General features: G+C 48.3%; 1 protein-coding gene across 1 annotated transcript, besides 9 other annotated features; it reads left to right on the forward strand.

Annotated features, from left to right (window-relative positions):
- Positions 2644-3169: an enhancer, noted in NCBI's record as "H3K27ac-H3K4me1 hESC enhancer chr2:202885061-202885586 (GRCh37/hg19 assembly coordinates)". NCBI's record gives its function as "activates a minimal SCP1, AML or CMV promoter by ChIP-STARR-seq in primed H9 embryonic stem cells {active_cell/tissue: H9 hESC(primed)}" and the evidence as "EXISTENCE:reporter gene assay evidence [ECO:0000049][PMID:30033119]".
- Positions 4876-5741: an enhancer, noted in NCBI's record as "OCT4-NANOG-H3K27ac hESC enhancer chr2:202887293-202888158 (GRCh37/hg19 assembly coordinates)". NCBI's record gives its function as "activates a minimal SCP1, AML or CMV promoter by ChIP-STARR-seq in naive and primed H9 embryonic stem cells {active_cell/tissue: H9 hESC(naive and primed)}" and the evidence as "EXISTENCE:reporter gene assay evidence [ECO:0000049][PMID:30033119]".
- Positions 5742-6605: an enhancer, noted in NCBI's record as "OCT4-NANOG-H3K27ac-H3K4me1 hESC enhancer chr2:202888159-202889022 (GRCh37/hg19 assembly coordinates)". NCBI's record gives its function as "activates a minimal SCP1, AML or CMV promoter by ChIP-STARR-seq in naive and primed H9 embryonic stem cells {active_cell/tissue: H9 hESC(naive and primed)}" and the evidence as "EXISTENCE:reporter gene assay evidence [ECO:0000049][PMID:30033119]".
- Positions 5742-6626: a biological region, named in NCBI's record as "Sharpr-MPRA regulatory region 624".
- Positions 6332-6626: a silencer, noted in NCBI's record as "tiled region #624; HepG2 Repressive non-DNase unmatched - State 21:Repr, and K562 Repressive non-DNase unmatched - State 22:ReprW". NCBI's record gives its function as "represses a minimal TATA promoter and a strong SV40 promoter by Sharpr-MPRA in HepG2 and K562 cells {active_cell/tissue: HepG2 | K562}" and the evidence as "EXISTENCE:reporter gene assay evidence [ECO:0000049][PMID:27701403]".
- Positions 15743-16292: a silencer, noted in NCBI's record as "silent region_12238". NCBI's record gives its function as "represses an Ori minimal core promoter by ATAC-STARR-seq in GM12878 lymphoblastoid cells {active_cell/tissue: GM12878}" and the evidence as "EXISTENCE:reporter gene assay evidence [ECO:0000049][PMID:35858748]".
- FZD7 (frizzled class receptor 7) lies at positions 16161-20747 on the forward strand. Its single transcript, NM_003507.2, has one exon. It carries the CDS (start codon positions 16954-16956, stop codon positions 18676-18678), a length of 1725 nt encoding a protein of 574 aa, NP_003498.1. The 5' UTR covers positions 16161-16953; the 3' UTR covers positions 18679-20747.
- Positions 16403-16482: a silencer, noted in NCBI's record as "silent region_12239". NCBI's record gives its function as "represses an Ori minimal core promoter by ATAC-STARR-seq in GM12878 lymphoblastoid cells {active_cell/tissue: GM12878}" and the evidence as "EXISTENCE:reporter gene assay evidence [ECO:0000049][PMID:35858748]".
- Positions 17045-17885: an enhancer, noted in NCBI's record as "H3K4me1 hESC enhancer chr2:202899462-202900302 (GRCh37/hg19 assembly coordinates)". NCBI's record gives its function as "activates a minimal SCP1, AML or CMV promoter by ChIP-STARR-seq in naive H9 embryonic stem cells {active_cell/tissue: H9 hESC(naive)}" and the evidence as "EXISTENCE:reporter gene assay evidence [ECO:0000049][PMID:30033119]".
- Positions 17083-17202: an enhancer, noted in NCBI's record as "active region_16996". NCBI's record gives its function as "activates an Ori minimal core promoter by ATAC-STARR-seq in GM12878 lymphoblastoid cells {active_cell/tissue: GM12878}" and the evidence as "EXISTENCE:reporter gene assay evidence [ECO:0000049][PMID:35858748]".

Below are 20834 nucleotides of genomic sequence, written 5' to 3' on the forward strand. Positions count from 1 at the left end.
GTTTTAGGCTGGGCACAGTGACTCATGCCTATAATCCCAGCATTTTGGGAGGCTGAGGTGGGCGGATCATCTGAGGTCAGGAGTTCGAGACCAGCCTGGCCAACATGGTGAAACCCCGTCTCTACTAAAAGTACAAAAATTAGCCAGGCAAGGTGGTGGTTGCCTGTAATCTCAGCTACTTGGGAAGCTATGGCCGGAGAATCACTTGAACCTAGGAGGCAGAGGTTGCAGTGAGCCGAGATTGTGCCACTGCACTCCAGCCTGGGCAACAGAGCAAGACTCCACAAAAAAAAAAAAAAAATTAGATGCAGATGCTGCCTGCCAGTGGTTTGCTGTGCAGCAAATAACTGCTTCTGACCCTTCCACTTGCAAGAATGGGCAGGGTTCCACAGGCTCTGCAAATCTAAAATGAGCTATAGGGCATTTTGAATTGGCTTGTATCCCAGATGAAACAGGCAGGACCATAAGATAAAGCAAGCTGAACATTTTTTAATGTGCCATTAGGACTTCAGTTTTTTCCCTGTTTTCCATCAGAAGGTCAGCTCCTCTGAAGATTATAATCATGTTGATAAATGCTATATGCATATTGCCTAAAACTGAAAAAGAAATTTTTTCTTCTTTTATTTATACCTAGCACAGTTTTTGGTTCTGAAAGACCTATGCCTAAAAAGGGCATGGGTAGAAATAAACATGGGATGACCAAAATATCTTTTCTATGGGGTATAAGCATCCAGATTTGGAAAAGAAAGCTTTTTCTTCAACAGCTCCTGTGGTCTGCAGCAACTTACAAACATCCATCTCTTCAGTGTATTTGTGCATTGGAAATATTCAGGATGGAAATGTGACTTTCCTCTGGCCCTGCCATTCCTACAGTATTCTCACTCTCAACTGAGCATACATGATGCTGGCAGCCTTTTGAGAAACCAGAAACTTTAGCTCCCATCTGCCCAGATCAAATTGCCTCTTTAAACCATTACAAATAATAATCATTCCTTACTGAGTATTTGTAACATGCTCAGTACTAAGTACATTGTATTATCTCATTTGACCTTTGCAATCCTATGAAGCAGGTGCTATTATTAAATATTATCACCATTTTACAGATGAGGAAACTGAGGCCCAGGGGAGTTAAGAAGCGTGTCCAAAGCCACATAACTAACAAGCTACTGAACAAGGATTAAAATCCACAAAACCTAGGCTCTCCACCAAAACTATCAAACTGCATCTCTAAAGAAAGATGAGTCCCCACTATACCAAAACTAAGAGCTTTCAAAATAGTGAATGGGAAAACTACTCTACCACTCTTAGAAGAGAAATGTGAGGTTGTTTCTAGAGGAAACATCCTGTATTCCTTACAGTGATGCAGCATCCCATGAACATCCTGGTCTTGTGATCTTCTCTGGGACAGCTGGCTGCATAGGAGGTAGAGAGAAACACATCCTCACCGAGGCTTCCACAGAAAACACGAGCTCATCCTGTCTGTTTGCTCTCTAAGAGCCTTCTCCAGGCCAGACATACACAGATGGCTTGTGCTGTTAGGAGCAGGCTAAATTTCTTCCTTGTTCTTATTTCCTTCCCACAAGTGTTTTTTTTTTTTTTTTTTCTTCAAAGAGAGAACTGGATCCAATGTCCCATTCTTAAGCTGGCATGGTGGCTCAAGCCTGTAATCCTAGCACTTTGGGAGGCCAAGGCAGGTAGATTACCTGAGGTCAGGAGTTTGAGACCAGCCTGGCCAACATGGTGAAACCCCATCTCTACTAAAAATGCAAGCAATTAGCCGGGCATAGTGGCAGATGCCACTATGAATGTAATGTAATCCCAGCTATTTGGGAGGCTGAGGCATGAGAATCGTTTGAACCTGGGAGGCGGAGGTTGCAGTGAGCCGAGACGGTGCCAATGCACTCCAGCCTGGGTCACAGAGTGAGACTCCGTCTCAAAAAAGTCCCATTCTTTGACTTACTACCTGTATAACCCTGGACCTCTCTATGCCTTGGTTTTCCCATCTGTAAAATGTGTCAAATAAACTGTAGCCACCTCAAAGTGCTGCTATGAGGATGAAGACTCAAGAAGTGTGGGTTAAGGGCTTAGCACAATGCCTGACTATGGTAAACACTCAATAAATGTTAGCTGTTAATAAAAATAGTAACGACACAGCTAATACCAGACACCGGAGTCAGTTAGCCGGCTTACTCTTAACTGTTCAGCTGGAATTTAAGTCAGGACATCACCAACCCTGGGTGCCAAAACACAGCAAGACCAATATGGTCCTCAGAACTAGGGCTTTAAAATAGGGTAATCTCTTGGAGCCATGGACCAGCTTTATAAATTAAGGCTAGGGGAAGAGGAGGAGTGAAGTTTCACAGGTAAACCAAAGCCCCTTTTGTTAGAGTGAGAAGTCTGTCGCTTCTTTTGTTTATCTCTTCTCTAAATGTTTCCTCTCTGGCCTCCTGGGCTGTTTTCAAAACCCCTCCGTTTTGGTAACAACTCTTCACAAGTCTGCTGGAAGCCAGAGAAACAAGCCAACAGCCCCTTCCCCAGCACAAACAGCCAGCAGCACAGCCAGGTCCCTCCCCTACCTCTGGGGTGAGGCTGGATGCCAGCAGTGGTTTCTGCAACACACTTCCAGTCCTTTCTTGACAAGGCACAGCTGTCCGGGGCAGCTCAGGCTATGGACACCAGGCAGATCAGCCCCACTCACCAGCTTTCTGTGGGTCTCCCAGTCACGGGCCACCCCGAAAGCCCCTCACTCTGGTCAGTCACTTGGATCCTTCACTCTGGAACTCACACAAGCTATTTGCAACGTGAGGTGGGGAGGAAGCAGAGAAAATAAAGTTGTGCCCTTATGTGCAAAGTTCTTGGGTAAAACACAAGCCCAGGAACCCACACGTGTGGATTCTAGTTCCAGTTCTTTCTGTCGTGAATTGTCCAGCGCTTGGACAATTCACTCTACCATGTTGGGCTTCAGTTTTCTCACCCCCCAAAATAAAGGGAATGAATGACTGGAGTCTGAGATCACTTATAAAAAAATCAATCCCTAGGCCGGGCACGGTGGCTCATGCCTGTAATCCCAGCACTTTGGGAGGCTGAGACGGGCAGATCACAAGGTCAGGAGTTCAAGACCAGCCTGGCCAACATAGTGAAACCCTGTCTCTACTAAAAATACAAAATTACAAAAATTTTGTATTTTTGTAAAAATACAAAAATTAGCTGGGCATGGTGGCGCGTGCCTGTAGTCCCAGCTACTTGGGAGGCTGAAGCAGGAGAATCGCTTCAACCCAGGAGGCGGAGGTTGCAGTGAGCTGAGATTGTGCCACTGCACTCCAGCTTAGGCAACAGAGTGAGACTTTGTCTCAAAAAAAAAAAAAAAAAAAATCAATCCCTGAACCATTCTCCAACTCGGCCCTTCCTATTTATTTATTTATGAGACAGGGTCTCACTCTGTCACCCAGGCTGAAGTGCAGTGGTGCTATCACAGCTCACTATAGCCTCAATCTCCCAGGCTCAGGTGATCCTCCCACCTCAGCCTCCTGAGTAGTTGGGACTTTAGGCACGTTCTACCACGCCCAGCTAATTTTTGTATTTTTGTTAAAGACAGAATTTCACCATGTTGTTCAGGCTGGTTTTGAACTCAGCTCAAGCAATCCACCCACCTCGGCCTCCCAAAGTGCTGGGATTACAGGTATGAGCCATAGCACCCAGCCTAGCCCTTCATTTTTAAATCACAGGATAGGCTGGCTCCTAGCTCAGGCCAAACTCCCATTATAATTTTGAGACAAATTCAAGGTCATCACAGAAAACCAGATTCATTTGTCGATCAAGGCTATAAGATTGGGCCAGGCACGGTGGCTCACTCCTGTAAATCCCAGCACTTTGGGAGGCCCAGGTGGGCGGAACACTTGAAGCCAAGAGTTCGAGACCAGCCTGGCCAATGTGGCGAAACCTCATCTCTACTAAAAATACAAAAATTATCCAGAATCTACAATGAACTCAAACAAATTTACAAGAAAAAAACAAACAACCCCATCAAAAAGTGGGCGAAGGATATGAACAGACACTTCTCAAAAGAAGACATTTATGCAGCCAAAAAACACATGAAAAAATGCTCACCATCACTGGCCATCAGAGAAATGCAAATCAAAACCACAATGAGATACCATCTCACACCAGTTAGAATGGCAATCATTAAAAAGTCAGGAAACAACAGGTGCTGGAGAGGATGTGGAGAAATAGGAACACTTTTACACTGTTGGTGGGACTGTAAACTAGTTCAACCATTGTGGAAGACAGTGTGGCGATTCCTCAGGGATCTGGAACTAGAAATACCATTTGACCCAGCCATCCCATTACTGGGTATATACCCAAAGGACTATAAATCATGCTGCTATAAAGACACATGCACACGTATGTTTATTGTGGCACTATTCACAATAGCAAAGACTTGGAACCAACCCAAATGTCCAACAATGATAGACTGTATTAAGAAAATGTGGCACATATACACCATGGAATACTATGCAGCCATAAAAAATGATGAGTTCATGTCCTTTGTAGGGACATGGATGAAATTGGAAATCATCATTCTCAGTAAACTATTGCAAGGACAAAAAACCAAACACCGCATGTTCTCACTCATAGGTGGGAATTGAGCAATGAGAGCACATGGAGGCAGGAAGGGGAACATCACACTCTGGGGACTGTTGTGGGGTGGGGGGAGGGGGGAGGGATAGCATTAGGAGATATACCTAATGCTAAATGACGAGTTAATGGGTGCAGCACACCAGCATGGCACATGTATACATATGTAACTAACCTGCACATTGTGCACATGTACCCTAAAATTTAAAGTATAATAATAATAAAATAAAATTAAAATACAAAAATTAGCCAAGCGTGGTGGTGCACACCTGTAGTCCCAACTTCTTGACAGACTGAGGCATGAGAATTGCTTGAAACTGGGAAGCAGAGGTTGCAGTGAGCCGACATGGCGCCACTGCACTCCAGCCTGGGTGACAGAGCGAGACTGTCTCAAAAATAAAAAAGAAAAGAAAGAAAAGACTATAAGATCCATGATGGCGGGGACACACATTCCCCGCATCTCACACAGCACAGGGCCTGAACATAATGACTCTAAATACATTTTTAAAAATAAACGAAGACCATGTGGTTTAATTACACCCTTTTAACTTGAGCTGTACCTTACTCGTTCATTCAATCATTTATCGAACGCACTTTGCTGCTGGCACTGTGCCCCACTGCAGTGTGACTGTGTGGATTTAAATAACCTTCTGTGACTACCTATAAACAAAATAACTGGTGACTGACGCAGGGAATTAAAAGCAAGGAGAGATTCCTCAACATATTAATGAGAAAGTTAGCTAAGAAATAAAGGGCTTCTCTGTTCCCATCCCAGAGGCTTCTGATAGGCAGCATTCTAATAAAAGTTGCTTTAACCGGCTTCACACTTTCAAAGCCAAAATTAACACCATACAACGGAAGGCCCCAAATAAATTCAGAAGGTAAGACCCGAGCCAGGGAGGGACTCGGATTTACTCATGAAAAGGAAATCTCAAAGCCCTCTTCAGTCTCAAACTGGCTCACTCCACCCTCTCTTAACCACCTCTTCGATCCGTCACCTCCCTTTGGGGACCCTGCCAGGTTCCTCAGGGCCAGCCACTCCTCGGCCCCTCCTTCAGGTGAAACCATTCTCAAATTAAATCACAAAGAGGAGCAGCCAGTCTGCAATGATCTGTGTTTATTTAGTAAATGGGTTGATTGCCCTCATTTGTGGAGATTAAGGGTTAATTTCCCAATGCAAAGAGAACCGATTTCTCCAAAAGCAGCCGCAGATAATTAAGTGGAAAAAACAAAATTCAAATACCTCTCCCCACCCCGACCCCTACCACCCTGCCCCTTCCCATCCAGTTTTGGCCTCTCGGTGGCCTCTCATGCAAGGTAGCCACAGGCTCTGGGTTCACTGAGGCTCTGAGGAAGGATTTGGTAAACAAAGGCTTAGGAATTCTTTAGGCCCCTCTAAGCTGACATCTGGCAAATTCGAGATCACATAACAGTTTCTCTCTCCCCCCCTCTTCTGGCTTTGAAAGGCAAATGTTTTGAGGTTTGTGTTCTCTCCCATTCACAGGGTTTTTAATCAAGTGGAGTCAAACCACTTTGTCTACACCTTAATTGAAGAGCCTGGCTCTAGAGCTTAAAGTACTATTTAGAATAATAAGGGGGAGGCAGGGAAAGGGAGAGAAGGAAAGGCGGCTAAGTGGAAATGTGAAAGGCTAGAAAAGCGATGGGCAAGTGGCCTTTCAGGGAACACTCAGGGTATCGCGTGCCCAGCCTTCTCAGCACAAGTGGGCACAGGCTGTGAGCTGCTGGGCCTGGCTGCTGCGCTGCCATCAGAACCTGGGAAGACAAGAAAGTCCCTACTTGGAAAGTCCTAGCTTAGGCGAGGAACTCCCAGATAGAGCCATAGGCTATCAGAGCAGAGCCAGATCACAAAGCCCAGTTTCTACCATTTACAGATGCAGACGAAGCCTCAAGAGGTGCACTGACTTGCCGGAGAACAAGGGGTTAGTGGCTGGACCAAGACCCCAAGAATTCTCATTTCCCTGGCTGTAACTGAAGTCTTTCTCTGTTCCTCTGGAGAGAGAAATGCACTACATCCATCTCAAAACAAATTTTCATACACTTGGGAAGACAGTTAAATGACTTCATATATTTTTCCAAGAGAAACAAACTTTCAACTTGTCTTCTCATCAGCTACTTTGGATCCTGACTGCACAGTAGACTCACTCGAGGAGCTTTTAAACAGACTCTCTAGGAGTGGGGCCCAGAAAGTAGGCTTTTTAAAAAGTAAATCTCTCTACAACAACCTTCCACCACCCCTTTGAGAGTCACCTTTTTAACTTCTTTGGGTTACTCTTCATACTGGTTCCTTCACGCCGCTTCATTTACTTTCTGCATGCCAAATTTATGTGTTTAATCTAAAAGCAATAGTAGGGCCAGGCACAGTGCTACATCCTAGTAATCCCAGTGCTTTGGGAGGCCAAGGTGGGAGAATCACTTGAGCCCAGGAGTTCAAGACCAGCCTGGGCAACAAAGAGAGACCTTGTCTCTACAAAAAATTTTAAAAATTAGCCAGACATGGTGGCATGCGCCTGTAGTCCCAGCTACTGGGAGGCTGAGGCGGGAGGATCAATTGAGCCCAGAGAGTTCCAGGCTACAGTGAGCTACGATGGCACCACTGCACGCCAGCCTGGGTGACGGAGCAAGACCCTGTCTCTAAACACAAATAAGTTAAAACAATAGCAGTGATTGTTGACGCATGATTAGCTTGTGGTCCGTTGTGATTCTCAAGTCTTTTGTCCCGAGCTAGCCTTTCACCATCCTGTTTCTCTGCAATGTATAGGTCTTTATTTTCATTGAACTTCATCTGACTGATGAATTGCACAATCTAATTCAACAAATTGAACGTCTACATTGTGAAAGACGAGGGAGAAAAATAAGACATAGTTCCTACTCTCAAAGACCTTTCAAATAAATAGGTGGGGTAAGAAAGCACCAAAATAACTGAAATACAAGAGAGAATACAGTAATATCAAAGAAAAGTGGCAAAAGAAACTGACTTTTGATGAGTACCTACCATGAGCCACATACGTTGTGATAAAAATAGGATTAGGCTTGGCTGTGAGGCATTGGAAAATCTAAAACAATGTTGGCTAAAACATGATCAAAGTTTATTTTGTTCTCATATTTGAGAAATCCAGAGGGAGTCCATCCCAGACTAGCATGGTGCACATCTGTGTTAGAGACTCAGGCCCCTTCTCTCTTTTGCTCCTTTCCCAGTGTCACCTCATGGTCCACAACAGCTTGTGCAGTTGCAGCTGTCAGGAGGAGGGAAGAAGGGTACTTCCCACTCCCTTTAAGTTGCACACAACACTTTTACTGACACCCCATGGCCTGGGCTCAGTGGATCCCAAAAGGGAGGCTGGAAAATGAGATCTTTATTCCAGTTGGTCATATGTCCATCTGACGACTGAGGGCTTCATTACTATGGAAGAAGAGGGGAACAGATATTGGGGGACAACTAGTAGCCCCCACACCATGTTAAGAACTTTAGATTCTTCAGTGCACTTAGTTCTCAAAACAACCCAAAAGAAAGATGTCTCCCCGGCCTTTACAGATAATTCCTATCTGGAAACACTTTTGCAATCACAGTCAACTCAATGTCAGTTGCAGCCCTGGGAGGTATATTCTCAAATTCTTTATCCAGGCCATTGAGCAAGAAGAAGGTGGTTGCAAGACCCAGCCTTGTTAATCAGCCTTTAGCGGATACCTCTCCTAGACTGGTGCTGATCCTCTGTGGTCAGCCTTCTGCCACTGTGGACACATTCTCCAGGAGAAAGTCGGAAGAGACGTGTGTTTTCACCCTTTTCTAAGCCTTGTACTGTGGTTAGTAAGGTTCTCTCTAGTAACAGACAAGGAGTCAGACGGCTTCATTCAAAGGGATGGTAGAATTCTGAGGGAAGGAAGCAGCCAGGAAACAGCTCTCAGGACTTGGTCTTTTTGTCTTCTCCTTCTGAAACAGGTGTTCCCTCTCTCCTTCCTTCCTTTCTCCTTTGTTTCTTTCCTTCCTTCCTTCGTATTTTTCCACTATAAAGGCCGCTGCTCTCCCGTCTTTCCTTCCTCTGCTCCTGCTGCCACCAACTAATTGCTGTCTCTACTCACTTCACTGCCTCACAGCTCTTGCTTCCTTCAAGCTTCTACTGCTTCCTGGTTTCTGCTCGTTCCCTTCTCACTGAATGCTTCCCAGCTTCTGCCAGCATATTTTACACTCAGAACCCCAAATGAAAGCATCCGATCAGTTGGCCTCTCTGTATCCAGCAGGCACAACTGTTGGACCGAGGTCTCATGCCAGACAACCTCATGGCTGGGTCACATCGTCTACTCCAGACTCAATCCTCTGAGGACAGGATTCATGTGGCACAAGGTACACAAATGGCAAGGTCAGTCTAAGGAAATGCTATGAAGCGAACTGTGGAAGTAGCAGCTGTTGCATTTCAGAATAGCCACTGTGACCTTGTTGAGACTCATAAATAAGGTCCCAGACCCAACATCACACCATGCAACGACATTTATCCAACCATCTCTCTCTCTCACACACACACACACACACATACACACACACACATTCACACCCCTCACACATGACACATGTCACACTCCCTTATGGTTCTCATTATTTCCATCCTTCAGTTCAAAAAGTAATCAACTAGAGTGAAAACTTTATGCAAAACTAAAGGCATCAAGCTGGGCACAGTGTCTCAGGCCTATAATCCCAGCACTTTGGGAGGCCGAGGCGGGTGGATCATCTGAGGTCAGGAGTTCAAGACCAGCCTGGCCAACATGGCGAAACCCCATCTCTACTAAAAATACAAAAATTAGCTGGGCGTGGTGGCAGGCGCCTGTAATCCCAGCTGAGGCAAGAGAATCACTTGAGCCCAGGAGGCAGAGGTTGCAGTGAGCCGAGATGGCGCCATTGCACTTCAGCCTGGGCGATAAGAGCAAAAGTCCATCTCAAAAACAAAAACAAACAAACAAAAAAACAAAAGGCATCCTATAAGGTATCAGTAACATAATGTACCGCTGTGGAATACAAGCCTGGTTCAGTGGTTCCCAAACTTGACTAATTCCAAAGAATCACCGAGTGAGTGTTTAAAAATTAAATCCCCAAGTCCCCCACTAGAGATTCTGACTCAACATATCTGAAGTAGGGCTCAGGCTTCAGAAAATTTTTTTCTTTTTTCTTTTATTTACTCCTTAGGTGATTCTGATGACCAGCCAGGCTTGGACTCCACTGTTCAAGTTCCATGTTTACCCTTCCAGAGGATTCCCTGGAAGCTTTCATTACTACCTTGAGTCTGGTTCCTACAGCTTCTCCTCCTAGCTCTCTGCTTGATAAAATTATCTTACTGGGAGAGCCTGATATACAACAAGTTTCCCACTTGCCCTAGGGGGCAGGAGTAGGGCTCCCAAATCTCTCAATCTAAATGCCCACTAGTGCAGTTTCAGAAATGGAATTAAATTGTTCCTTAGGTAACTAGAGAAAATTAACAGATTCTTCCAACTTGGTTTGAAACCTGAATTAGGTGGAATGTTCAAGGGGTCATCACTAACCTGGACTTGATATATCCCAGCCTAGAAATTCTGGGGTTTCTCTAAATTTTGGAATAGCTTTTTATCAGACATATAAAAGAAGATACATTAGTGTTTATCATAAAAGACATCAGGTAGCAGTGCAGTATGAAGTGGAAAATGTTATATAGACCTAAGCTTTAGTTCAGGCTGGCTACTATGGAAAGGAAGTTATAACTTGGACTGCACAGGATTGTTGTGAAATTAGAGATGCTGTACCTAAAGCACTTGGAACTTTATAAATGGTAGTCGTTGTATTTAGAAAATAACTATTTTTGAGGCCGGGCGCAGTGGCTCACACCTGTAATCCCAGCACTTTGGGAGGCCGAGGCAGGCGGATCACGAGGTCAGGAGATGGAGACCATCCTGGCTAACACGGTGAAACCCCATCTCTACTAAAAATACAAAAGAAAAATTAGCCAGGCACAGTGGTGGGCACCTGTAGTCCCAGCTACTAAGGAGGCTGAGGCAGGAGAATGGCGTGAACCCGGGAGGCGGAGTTTGCAGTGAGCCAAGATCGGGCCATTGCACTCCAGTCTGGGCAATAGAGCAAGACTACGTCTCAAAACAAACAAACAAACAAACAAACAAACAATTTTTGATGCTCAAACTAATCTGAAGATAATAAGTTCTAGCACACCCAGTGGTACACCAGGGCAAGCTCTTAGGGGCTTGTGGAGCTGATTATGTGCATCTTTTCCAAACACTAAGGTCAGTGACATCATATTGGCTTGAAATCGGCTATGGTAGCATTATTTACACCACGGAAATTGGCAAATGTACACATCAGGGCTTTTTTTCCTGGAGAGTCGATTGTTAAACATTTACCAGCATACCACTATAAAAAATTACAACCTCGGCCGGGCGCGGTGGCTCACGCCTGTAATCCCAGCACTTTGGGAGGCCGAGGCAGGCGGATCACGAGGTCAGGAGATCGAGACCATCCTGGCTAACACGGTGAAACCCCGTCTCTACTGAAAATACAAAAAATTAGCCGGGCGTGGTGGCGGGCACCTGTAATCCCAGCTACTTGGGAGGCTGAGGCAGGAGAATGGCGTGAACCCGGGAGGCGGAGCTTGCAGTGAGCAGAGATCGCGCCACTGCACTCCAGCCTGGGCGAAAGAGCAAGACTCTGTCTCAAAAAAAAAAAAAAAAAAAAAATTACAACCTCAGCAAAGAGCCAAAGCCCCAAAATATGCAGCTAACTTGGCCTTTTATTTGATCCCTAAGATTTGTATCCATATAACTAGACCAGGATTCTGCCCTGATGATTTTTTGCCTATGGATCACACAGCATTTCGTAAATATTACCTCACAAATTCTCCCAACATCCTGGGGGAGCAAGAGATGTTAAGTGACTTGCCTGAGGCAGGACAAGAAATCAATAGTGAAAGGCAGAACTAAACCAGTCTGTATCAACCACCTCTGCAATCCTTCCTAGACATCAGTACTGTGCAGACCCACATTGGAGACATGGGTAGCAATTACCAAAGGTGCTTTTTACATCATAACCCAGATACCCGAAGTCGCTTTCTACAGACTATGGTCCATATGCTCTGACCTTTGAGTACAGATTTGACTCCCCAGAATGGCCAGCGCTCTACATTTGGACATTTTTTCCAGAACTGTTCATGGTCTTTTATTAATCAACTTCCTCCATGTTTTCTCTCCCAGGGACATGTGTTTGGAAAACTGGTTGGCCAGAGTTAGGGTTCTGTTCTGACTCTAACATCTGCAAGTGGCAACATAACCAGTCAACACTGTATTTTTATCTGTGACCCTTTCTCTGGACTCCCCAAGGACAGAGCTCCAAGAGTCGTTTCTCTCTGTTGCCTCATCTTCATAATACTCTGGAAATGAATAAATGAATAATCCTTGTAGTAAGCAGCCTCTCAAATGGCTCCCTATGATCCCCCAATGGTTTTGCACACTCTATGTATAATCCCTGCTACCCCTTGAGTGTGGGAAGATCTGGTGACTTGCTTCTAGTGAATAGTATATGGCAAAAGTGGTAGGATGTCACTTCCCAGATTAGGTTACAGAAAGACTGTGACTTCTATCTTGATCGTCATTTTTTCCTGCTCTCTCTCTCTCCCTCCTTCTTTCCCTCCCTCTCTCAGAGGGAGAGACTCTCTGAGCCTTTGCTGTGAGGGAAGCAAGGTGCCATATTACGAGTGGCCTTATGAGAGGTCCACATTGCAAGGAACTGATGTCTCTGGCCAACAGCTAGTGACAGCCTGAGGCCTGCCAACAGCCACATGAGTGAGCTTGGAAGTGGCTCCTCCAATTGAGCCTTGAGGCCATCACAGCCCTGATCAACACCCTGATTATACAATAGTCAACGTATAAAACTCTCAACTAGCCCAGTGTGGTGACGCTCACCTGTAGTCCCAGCTTTTCTGGAAGCTGAGGTAGAAGGATCACTTAAGACCAGGAGTTCGAGGCTGCAGTGAGCTATGATCACTCTACCTCACTCCAGCCTGAGTGGCAGGGTGAGATTCTGTCTCAAAAAACAAAAACAGAAACACAAAAACCCCTCTCAATCGACAAGGGAAGTGTTGGTCAGACTCAGTGACTGAATTTACCATATAAATCATCTCTACAAGATGCGGCCTGCACATCTAACATGATTATTGCATGGTCCTCCTCTTCTGCAACTTAGATATCTCTAACTTTCATAACCCTTGAAAGGGTTTTAGGGATAAGAATATCCCCATTTTTGGAATGATCCAACACCCCAACAAAAATGAACACAAGTCAATGACAACCTGACAACTGGAAATTCCAAGTTCTCCATGTTATTACGTCAAAATTGTCTAGTAAAAGAGAGGCCAGAAAGGAAAGCATGTGCTAAAATTTGCCCTTTCTAGTCTTGCATGAGTAATTCTTGCAGCAGGAGCTTCATTACAACCGCAGGACTGGGGCACACGAAGACGGCCATTTTCAAATCTGGCCTGACATCAGAATGTAATTCAACTAGATAAACCTGGGACTTGGCCAAAATAAGTAGCATTTGCAAAACTGGAGCCAATGAATAGCATCACTTTTCTGTGGGACCATATGACTACATGTGAAGAAATAAAGGCCTTTGTTATTTTAAAGGGCAGGGACAATTGGAAATTTTGCAGCAGATAGTCACAAAATTTTCCACCCTTGGCTCTCCCAAGAAGATACCAGTTAGTGGCTTTGGGAGTTGGGTGTGGAAGGGGTTGCTTAGGAAGCAAAATTAAAATGATCCTGGACAGAATATAAACAGATGTCACTACATTTGTCATAGAACCTAAAACATGATTAGACCCTTACATTGTGAACTTACTTTTTCTGATCTTCTATGACTTGGCTCCTTAAAATCATAGCATTCTATACCAGGCAAGGCTTGGAAAGCCAGAGCTCCCCCTCTCACAGCAAATTCTTATTTTGGAGAATAATTTTGGATTGATTTTTTAAAAATCTTTAAAAACAAAACAATCTGTTTTAAAAATTGGCTTTGCTTCTCTGCTTTTTGGACTTGTCTGCCTGGGACAGAGCAAGAGGACTCACATCTGTAACACTTTCCATCTGGGATGGGTTTTCTGCATCTTAGGCATAGACTGCTTTTCATTCGTCCCTTGTATTTAAGGGTTTTTTTTTTCTAAATTATTATCCCTATTGCCTAACATCGGAGCTGTCTGGGGTTATAATATGGAGAGTAGAAGCTCATCAGCTAAATTGGTTTTAGTTGCAGTTGAGACAGTATTTTATCCTGTCAGTTTTCATTTTATTTGATGACAGTGCTTGGTATTTCTTCCTCAATAAGCAAAGATGACTTAGATCAGTGGCCTGATGAATAAGCATGAAATTTTGATTTAGAAAAGGAGGATATCCTGAAGCTCATGGAGAGAAAAAAGGAATCTAACCCCCCACCACACATACTTTAAATGACAAAGCAAAGCAGCAGCATTGTCTTTAAGCAACATATTTCAACCGAAGATCAACACTCCCCGATGTTAGGTAATAGAAATAATAATTTAGAAAGAAAAGGGGGGCCCTTTTAAAAACACAAAGAAGGAATGAAACATTTTTAAAGCAGGTATCGTATTACCTTCAGCACATGTCCCAAAGAAAAGGAAAAAAAGGGTGGGGGGGTCCGGGAGGGAGGGCGAAACTGATGCTTGGGAGGAAGAAGGCGACTCCCGCTGAGGGCCGGATGGAGGATGTGATCAGTCTAACACTCTGCCTTGGCCCAAAGGCTTCCTTCCGCCCTTTCGACCTATTAACAGGAGTGGGGAAGGACAAAGAACCGTGAATCGGAAAGAACGATTCCCAGCAATCTTCAGTGATCGAAAATAAATAAAGAAAAACAGAGAAAGCCAAAGTCTCCCATGGAAGGGAACCCAATTAATTGTCTTCGATTTCAGAATGAGTTTTTTTCCTGCTGTAGAAGAAGCGCACGGGAGGCAGCAGAGACAGCAACTTCTGCCAAGGTTCAACCTGATCAGAAATCGCTCAGAGCTCCAGCACCCGGGACTGAGGCAGAAGGGCTCCGCCAGGAATAACGTTTTTTAAAGCACAGGATTGCTGTGTGTGTGTGTGTGTGTGTGTGTGTGTGAGAGAGAGAGAGAGAGAGACAGAGGAAAGAGGAGGAGGAGGAGAGATTGATTGATTGATTTTTTTCTTTTCCTTCTCAACATGTCACTTTCCTGCATGGGAATTCCTGATATTCCTGGCAGCCCGGAGAGAGGGGAGAGGCCCCCTGGTGACTTATGACCCCCGCAGGAGTAACCAGAGAGCGCGCGCGAGCGCCCAGCGCCTGGCTCAAGACGAAGATTTAACCGAGAACAAAAGAACGTTTGCCAATCAGAAAACGCTACCCGAGAACGAGGATAACCCCGCTTTGTGTTTTGAAAACTCTTTAATTAGCCTGGTTTCTAAGACGCATTAAAACATTCCTACGCAGATTCTAAATGGAGGATCAAATGGTTGCTTCTGCAACGAAGATGGGATCCCGAAAGGGCACACGCCGCAGAACCAAGGCACACGGGGCCACTGAGACGCCCGGCGCGTCGTACAGAGTGTTCCTGGGCGCTCGGTCTCAGGTTACTTCTAGAACCAGTCTCCCCAACGCCGTCTTCGTTTCCTTAAAACCTCGCTAGAGTCACCCCAGTTCCCCAGACTCCAGGCCGTGCGCGCGGGCGGGGTGGCCTGAGCCCGGGTTCCCCGCTCTCCCTGCTTCGGGCCCTTCCTCCGAGGGGTCCTTCCTCCCGCCGTCACTCGGCCCCCTCCGCCCGACTCGGGTTTCTCCTCGGAGGCGGCCCCTCCTCCTTTTTATAACTCGGGGGAGGGGAGAGGGGACTGTGGCCTCGCGTGGACTCTTTGGGTCCGGGGGGAAAGAGGCGATCCGCAAGGCGCACCCCCTTCTCGTCCCGTCCCAAACCCCACATTGAGGACCCGGCGACCCGAAAGCCCCGCCAGAGCCAGCCTTTGCAGTCCTAACGCGACTCCTGGTCACGTCTCTCCCCGAAGGGGCGCTGCGCGGTCCTCGCTCCCCTCAAACGCCGCTGGCGAAGGCGCCCCTGCTCAGGAATGCGCATCTGAGTGCACCAGGAAGAGGAACAAATCTTTGAAGCAAATTCCCTTTCTGCGCGTTTTCGTCCCTGAGCGAATTCAGGGTAAAAGTTTTTCCGAACTTTTCCCTCCCAGTCCCCCGCCCCTCCCCTCAGGAATCCGCCCAGAGCGCCGCGGACACCGCCTCCGCCACTCCCGCGCCCGCCCCTTCCGACTTCCGCCCAATCCGAAGGCGGCCACCGAAAAAACAAAGGCCGCCATTGGGCCGCCGGGGCCTGGGGCCGCCCCCGGAGTGGTTTGTGAATGGGGGGGGAGGGGAGGGGAGGGGAGGGGACGGGAGGGGACGGGAGGGGGCGGGCCGGCCCGGAACCCCGCGAGCCCGACGCTTCTTCTGGCGACCAGCGCGACTCCGAGGCGTTAGTCGGCGCTCACTCCCGGCGGGCGGCGGCGGCGGCGGCGGCGGCGGGCGCCAGGACTCGCTGCTGGGGCTGCGAGGGGCTGGAGGGGCCGGGGCCAGGCCGCGGGCACGAGCGCCTCGCGGTTTCGGACGCAGTGTGACTGGGTTTCCAAAAAGAACTCGCCGTGCTCCCGACTCCGGGGCCGAGATCGGACTCAGCAAGAGCCGGCCGTTTGGCTGAAACTTGGGGCCGAGCTTTTGGGGCTGAAGAAGGAGCGGGGTGTGGAGGAGGAGGCGAAGGAGGCGGCGACGAGCGGAGCCTCGAGGCCAGGAGGCGGGGCAGCACCGCGGAGGCGGCGGCCGGGGCGAGCGAGCGGCGGCGGCAGGGGTTCTCCTAGCGGGGACCGGACCAGGCGCGGGGGGCGTGCGCGCTGCGGTGCGCCGGGGGTCCAGAGTCTTGGGCAAACTTTGAAGGGTGCCGGAGCCGCTTGTTGCTCCTCGCGGCGGAGGGAGCCGCACCGTTACGTCCCCGCGGGGAGAGCGAGGCGGCCCTCCTCGGCGCCCCCAACCCAGGCTGACGAGTTTTGGGCCCCCGGCGGCCCTGCGAGTGCAGGGCGGCGGCGTCTGCGGCGCCTTCGCGGCGCGGGCACCCAGGCGGCAGCGCCCTTTGCTCCACGCCGCCCACGGCCCGGCCCCGGCGCCGTGAGGACTCTCATGCGTCGGGCGCGGCGGCGCCTCCCCGCATCCAAGCCTCTCCCAACCGCCTCGTCGCACTCCTCAGGCTGAGAGCACCGCTGCACTCGCGGCCGGCGATGCGGGACCCCGGCGCGGCCGCTCCGCTTTCGTCCCTGGGCCTCTGTGCCCTGGTGCTGGCGCTGCTGGGCGCACTGTCCGCGGGCGCCGGGGCGCAGCCGTACCACGGAGAGAAGGGCATCTCCGTGCCGGACCACGGCTTCTGCCAGCCCATCTCCATCCCGCTGTGCACGGACATCGCCTACAACCAGACCATCCTGCCCAACCTGCTGGGCCACACGAACCAAGAGGACGCGGGCCTCGAGGTGCACCAGTTCTACCCGCTGGTGAAGGTGCAGTGTTCTCCCGAACTCCGCTTTTTCTTATGCTCCATGTATGCGCCCGTGTGCACCGTGCTCGATCAGGCCATCCCGCCGTGTCGTTCTCTGTGCGAGCGCGCCCGCCAGGGCTGCGAGGCGCTCATGAACAAGTTCGGCTTCCAGTGGCCCGAGCGGCTGCGCTGCGAGAACTTCCCGGTGCACGGTGCGGGCGAGATCTGCGTGGGCCAGAACACGTCGGACGGCTCCGGGGGCCCAGGCGGCGGCCCCACTGCCTACCCTACCGCGCCCTACCTGCCGGACCTGCCCTTCACCGCGCTGCCCCCGGGGGCCTCAGATGGCAGGGGGCGTCCCGCCTTCCCCTTCTCATGCCCCCGTCAGCTCAAGGTGCCCCCGTACCTGGGCTACCGCTTCCTGGGTGAGCGCGATTGTGGCGCCCCGTGCGAACCGGGCCGTGCCAACGGCCTGATGTACTTTAAGGAGGAGGAGAGGCGCTTCGCCCGCCTCTGGGTGGGCGTGTGGTCCGTGCTGTGCTGCGCCTCGACGCTCTTTACCGTTCTCACCTACCTGGTGGACATGCGGCGCTTCAGCTACCCAGAGCGGCCCATCATCTTCCTGTCGGGCTGCTACTTCATGGTGGCCGTGGCGCACGTGGCCGGCTTCCTTCTAGAGGACCGCGCCGTGTGCGTGGAGCGCTTCTCGGACGATGGCTACCGCACGGTGGCGCAGGGCACCAAGAAGGAGGGCTGCACCATCCTCTTCATGGTGCTCTACTTCTTCGGCATGGCCAGCTCCATCTGGTGGGTCATTCTGTCTCTCACTTGGTTCCTGGCGGCCGGCATGAAGTGGGGCCACGAGGCCATCGAGGCCAACTCGCAGTACTTCCACCTGGCCGCGTGGGCCGTGCCCGCCGTCAAGACCATCACTATCCTGGCCATGGGCCAGGTAGACGGGGACCTGCTGAGCGGGGTGTGCTACGTTGGCCTCTCCAGTGTGGACGCGCTGCGGGGCTTCGTGCTGGCGCCTCTGTTCGTCTACCTCTTCATAGGCACGTCCTTCTTGCTGGCCGGCTTCGTGTCCCTCTTCCGTATCCGCACCATCATGAAACACGACGGCACCAAGACCGAGAAGCTGGAGAAGCTCATGGTGCGCATCGGCGTCTTCAGCGTGCTCTACACAGTGCCCGCCACCATCGTCCTGGCCTGCTACTTCTACGAGCAGGCCTTCCGCGAGCACTGGGAGCGCACCTGGCTCCTGCAGACGTGCAAGAGCTATGCCGTGCCCTGCCCGCCCGGCCACTTCCCGCCCATGAGCCCCGACTTCACCGTCTTCATGATCAAGTACCTGATGACCATGATCGTCGGCATCACCACTGGCTTCTGGATCTGGTCGGGCAAGACCCTGCAGTCGTGGCGCCGCTTCTACCACAGACTTAGCCACAGCAGCAAGGGGGAGACTGCGGTATGAGCCCCGGCCCCTCCCCACCTTTCCCACCCCAGCCCTCTTGCAAGAGGAGAGGCACGGTAGGGAAAAGAACTGCTGGGTGGGGGCCTGTTTCTGTAACTTTCTCCCCCTCTACTGAGAAGTGACCTGGAAGTGAGAAGTTCTTTGCAGATTTGGGGCGAGGGGTGATTTGGAAAAGAAGACCTGGGTGGAAAGCGGTTTGGATGAAAAGATTTCAGGCAAAGACTTGCAGGAAGATGATGATAACGGCGATGTGAATCGTCAAAGGTACGGGCCAGCTTGTGCCTAATAGAAGGTTGAGACCAGCAGAGACTGCTGTGAGTTTCTCCCGGCTCCGAGGCTGAACGGGGACTGTGAGCGATCCCCCTGCTGCAGGGCGAGTGGCCTGTCCAGACCCCTGTGAGGCCCCGGGAAAGGTACAGCCCTGTCTGCGGTGGCTGCTTTGTTGGAAAGAGGGAGGGCCTCCTGCGGTGTGCTTGTCAAGCAGTGGTCAAACCATAATCTCTTTTCACTGGGGCCAAACTGGAGCCCAGATGGGTTAATTTCCAGGGTCAGACATTACGGTCTCTCCTCCCCTGCCCCCTCCCGCCTGTTTTTCCTCCCGTACTGCTTTCAGGTCTTGTAAAATAAGCATTTGGAAGTCTTGGGAGGCCTGCCTGCTAGAATCCTAATGTGAGGATGCAAAAGAAATGATGATAACATTTTGAGATAAGGCCAAGGAGACGTGGAGTAGGTATTTTTGCTACTTTTTCATTTTCTGGGGAAGGCAGGAGGCAGAAAGACGGGTGTTTTATTTGGTCTAATACCCTGAAAAGAAGTGATGACTTGTTGCTTTTCAAAACAGGAATGCATTTTTCCCCTTGTCTTTGTTGTAAGAGACAAAAGAGGAAACAAAAGTGTCTCCCTGTGGAAAGGCATAACTGTGACGAAAGCAACTTTTATAGGCAAAGCAGCGCAAATCTGAGGTTTCCCGTTGGTTGTTAATTTGGTTGAGATAAACATTCCTTTTTAAGGAAAAGTGAAGAGCAGTGTGCTGTCACACACCGTTAAGCCAGAGGTTCTGACTTCGCTAAAGGAAATGTAAGAGGTTTTGTTGTCTGTTTTAAATAAATTTAATTCGGAACACATGATCCAACAGACTATGTTAAAATATTCAGGGAAATCTCTCCCTTCATTTACTTTTTCTTGCTATAAGCCTATATTTAGGTTTCTTTTCTATTTTTTTCTCCCATTTGGATCCTTTGAGGTAAAAAAACATAATGTCTTCAGCCTCATAATAAAGGAAAGTTAATTAAAAAAAAAAAGCAAAGAGCCATTTTGTCCTGTTTTCTTGGTTCCATCAATCTGTTTATTAAACATCATCCATATGCTGACCCTGTCTCTGTGTGGTTGGGTTGGGAGGCGATCAGCAGATACCATAGTGAACGAAGAGGAAGGTTTGAACCATGGGCCCCATCTTTAAAGAAAGTCATTAAAAGAAGGTAAACTTCAAAGTGATTCTGGAGTTCTTTGAAATGTGCTGGAAGACTTAAATTTATTAATCTTAAATCATGTACTTTTTTTCTGTAATAGAACTCGGATTCTTTTGCATGATGGGGTAAAGCTTAGCAGAGAATCATGGGAGCTAACCTTTATCCCACCTTTGACACTACCCTCCAATCTTGCAACACTATCCTGTTTCTCAGAACAGTTTTTAAATGCCAATCATAGAGGGTACTGTAAAGTGTACAAGTTACTTTATATATGTAATGTTCACTTGAGTGGAACTGCTTTTTACATTAAAGTTAAAATCGATCTTGTGTTTCTTCAACCTTCAAAACTATCTCATCTGTCAGATTTTTAAAACTCCAACACAGGTTTTGGCATCTTTTGTGCTGTATCTTTTAAGTGCATGTGAAATTTGTAAAATAGAGATAAGTACAGTATGTATATTTTGTAAATCTCCCATTTTTGTAAGAAAATATATATTGTATTTATACATTTTTACTTTGGATTTTTGTTTTGTTGGCTTTAAAGGTCTACCCCACTTTATCACATGTACAGATCACAAATAAATTTTTTTAAATACAAAATGAACATTTATTTAGTTTACTATTCCTGTAATATTAAACCAAAGAAGAGAAAGAAGGAAAGTATGGGAAAATAGTATGGAGGGACAA

Source organism: Homo sapiens, chromosome 2 (genome assembly GCF_000001405.40).
Source record: "Homo sapiens chromosome 2, GRCh38.p14 Primary Assembly".
In the NCBI taxonomy this organism is placed as follows: domain Eukaryota; kingdom Metazoa; phylum Chordata; class Mammalia; order Primates; family Hominidae; genus Homo; species Homo sapiens.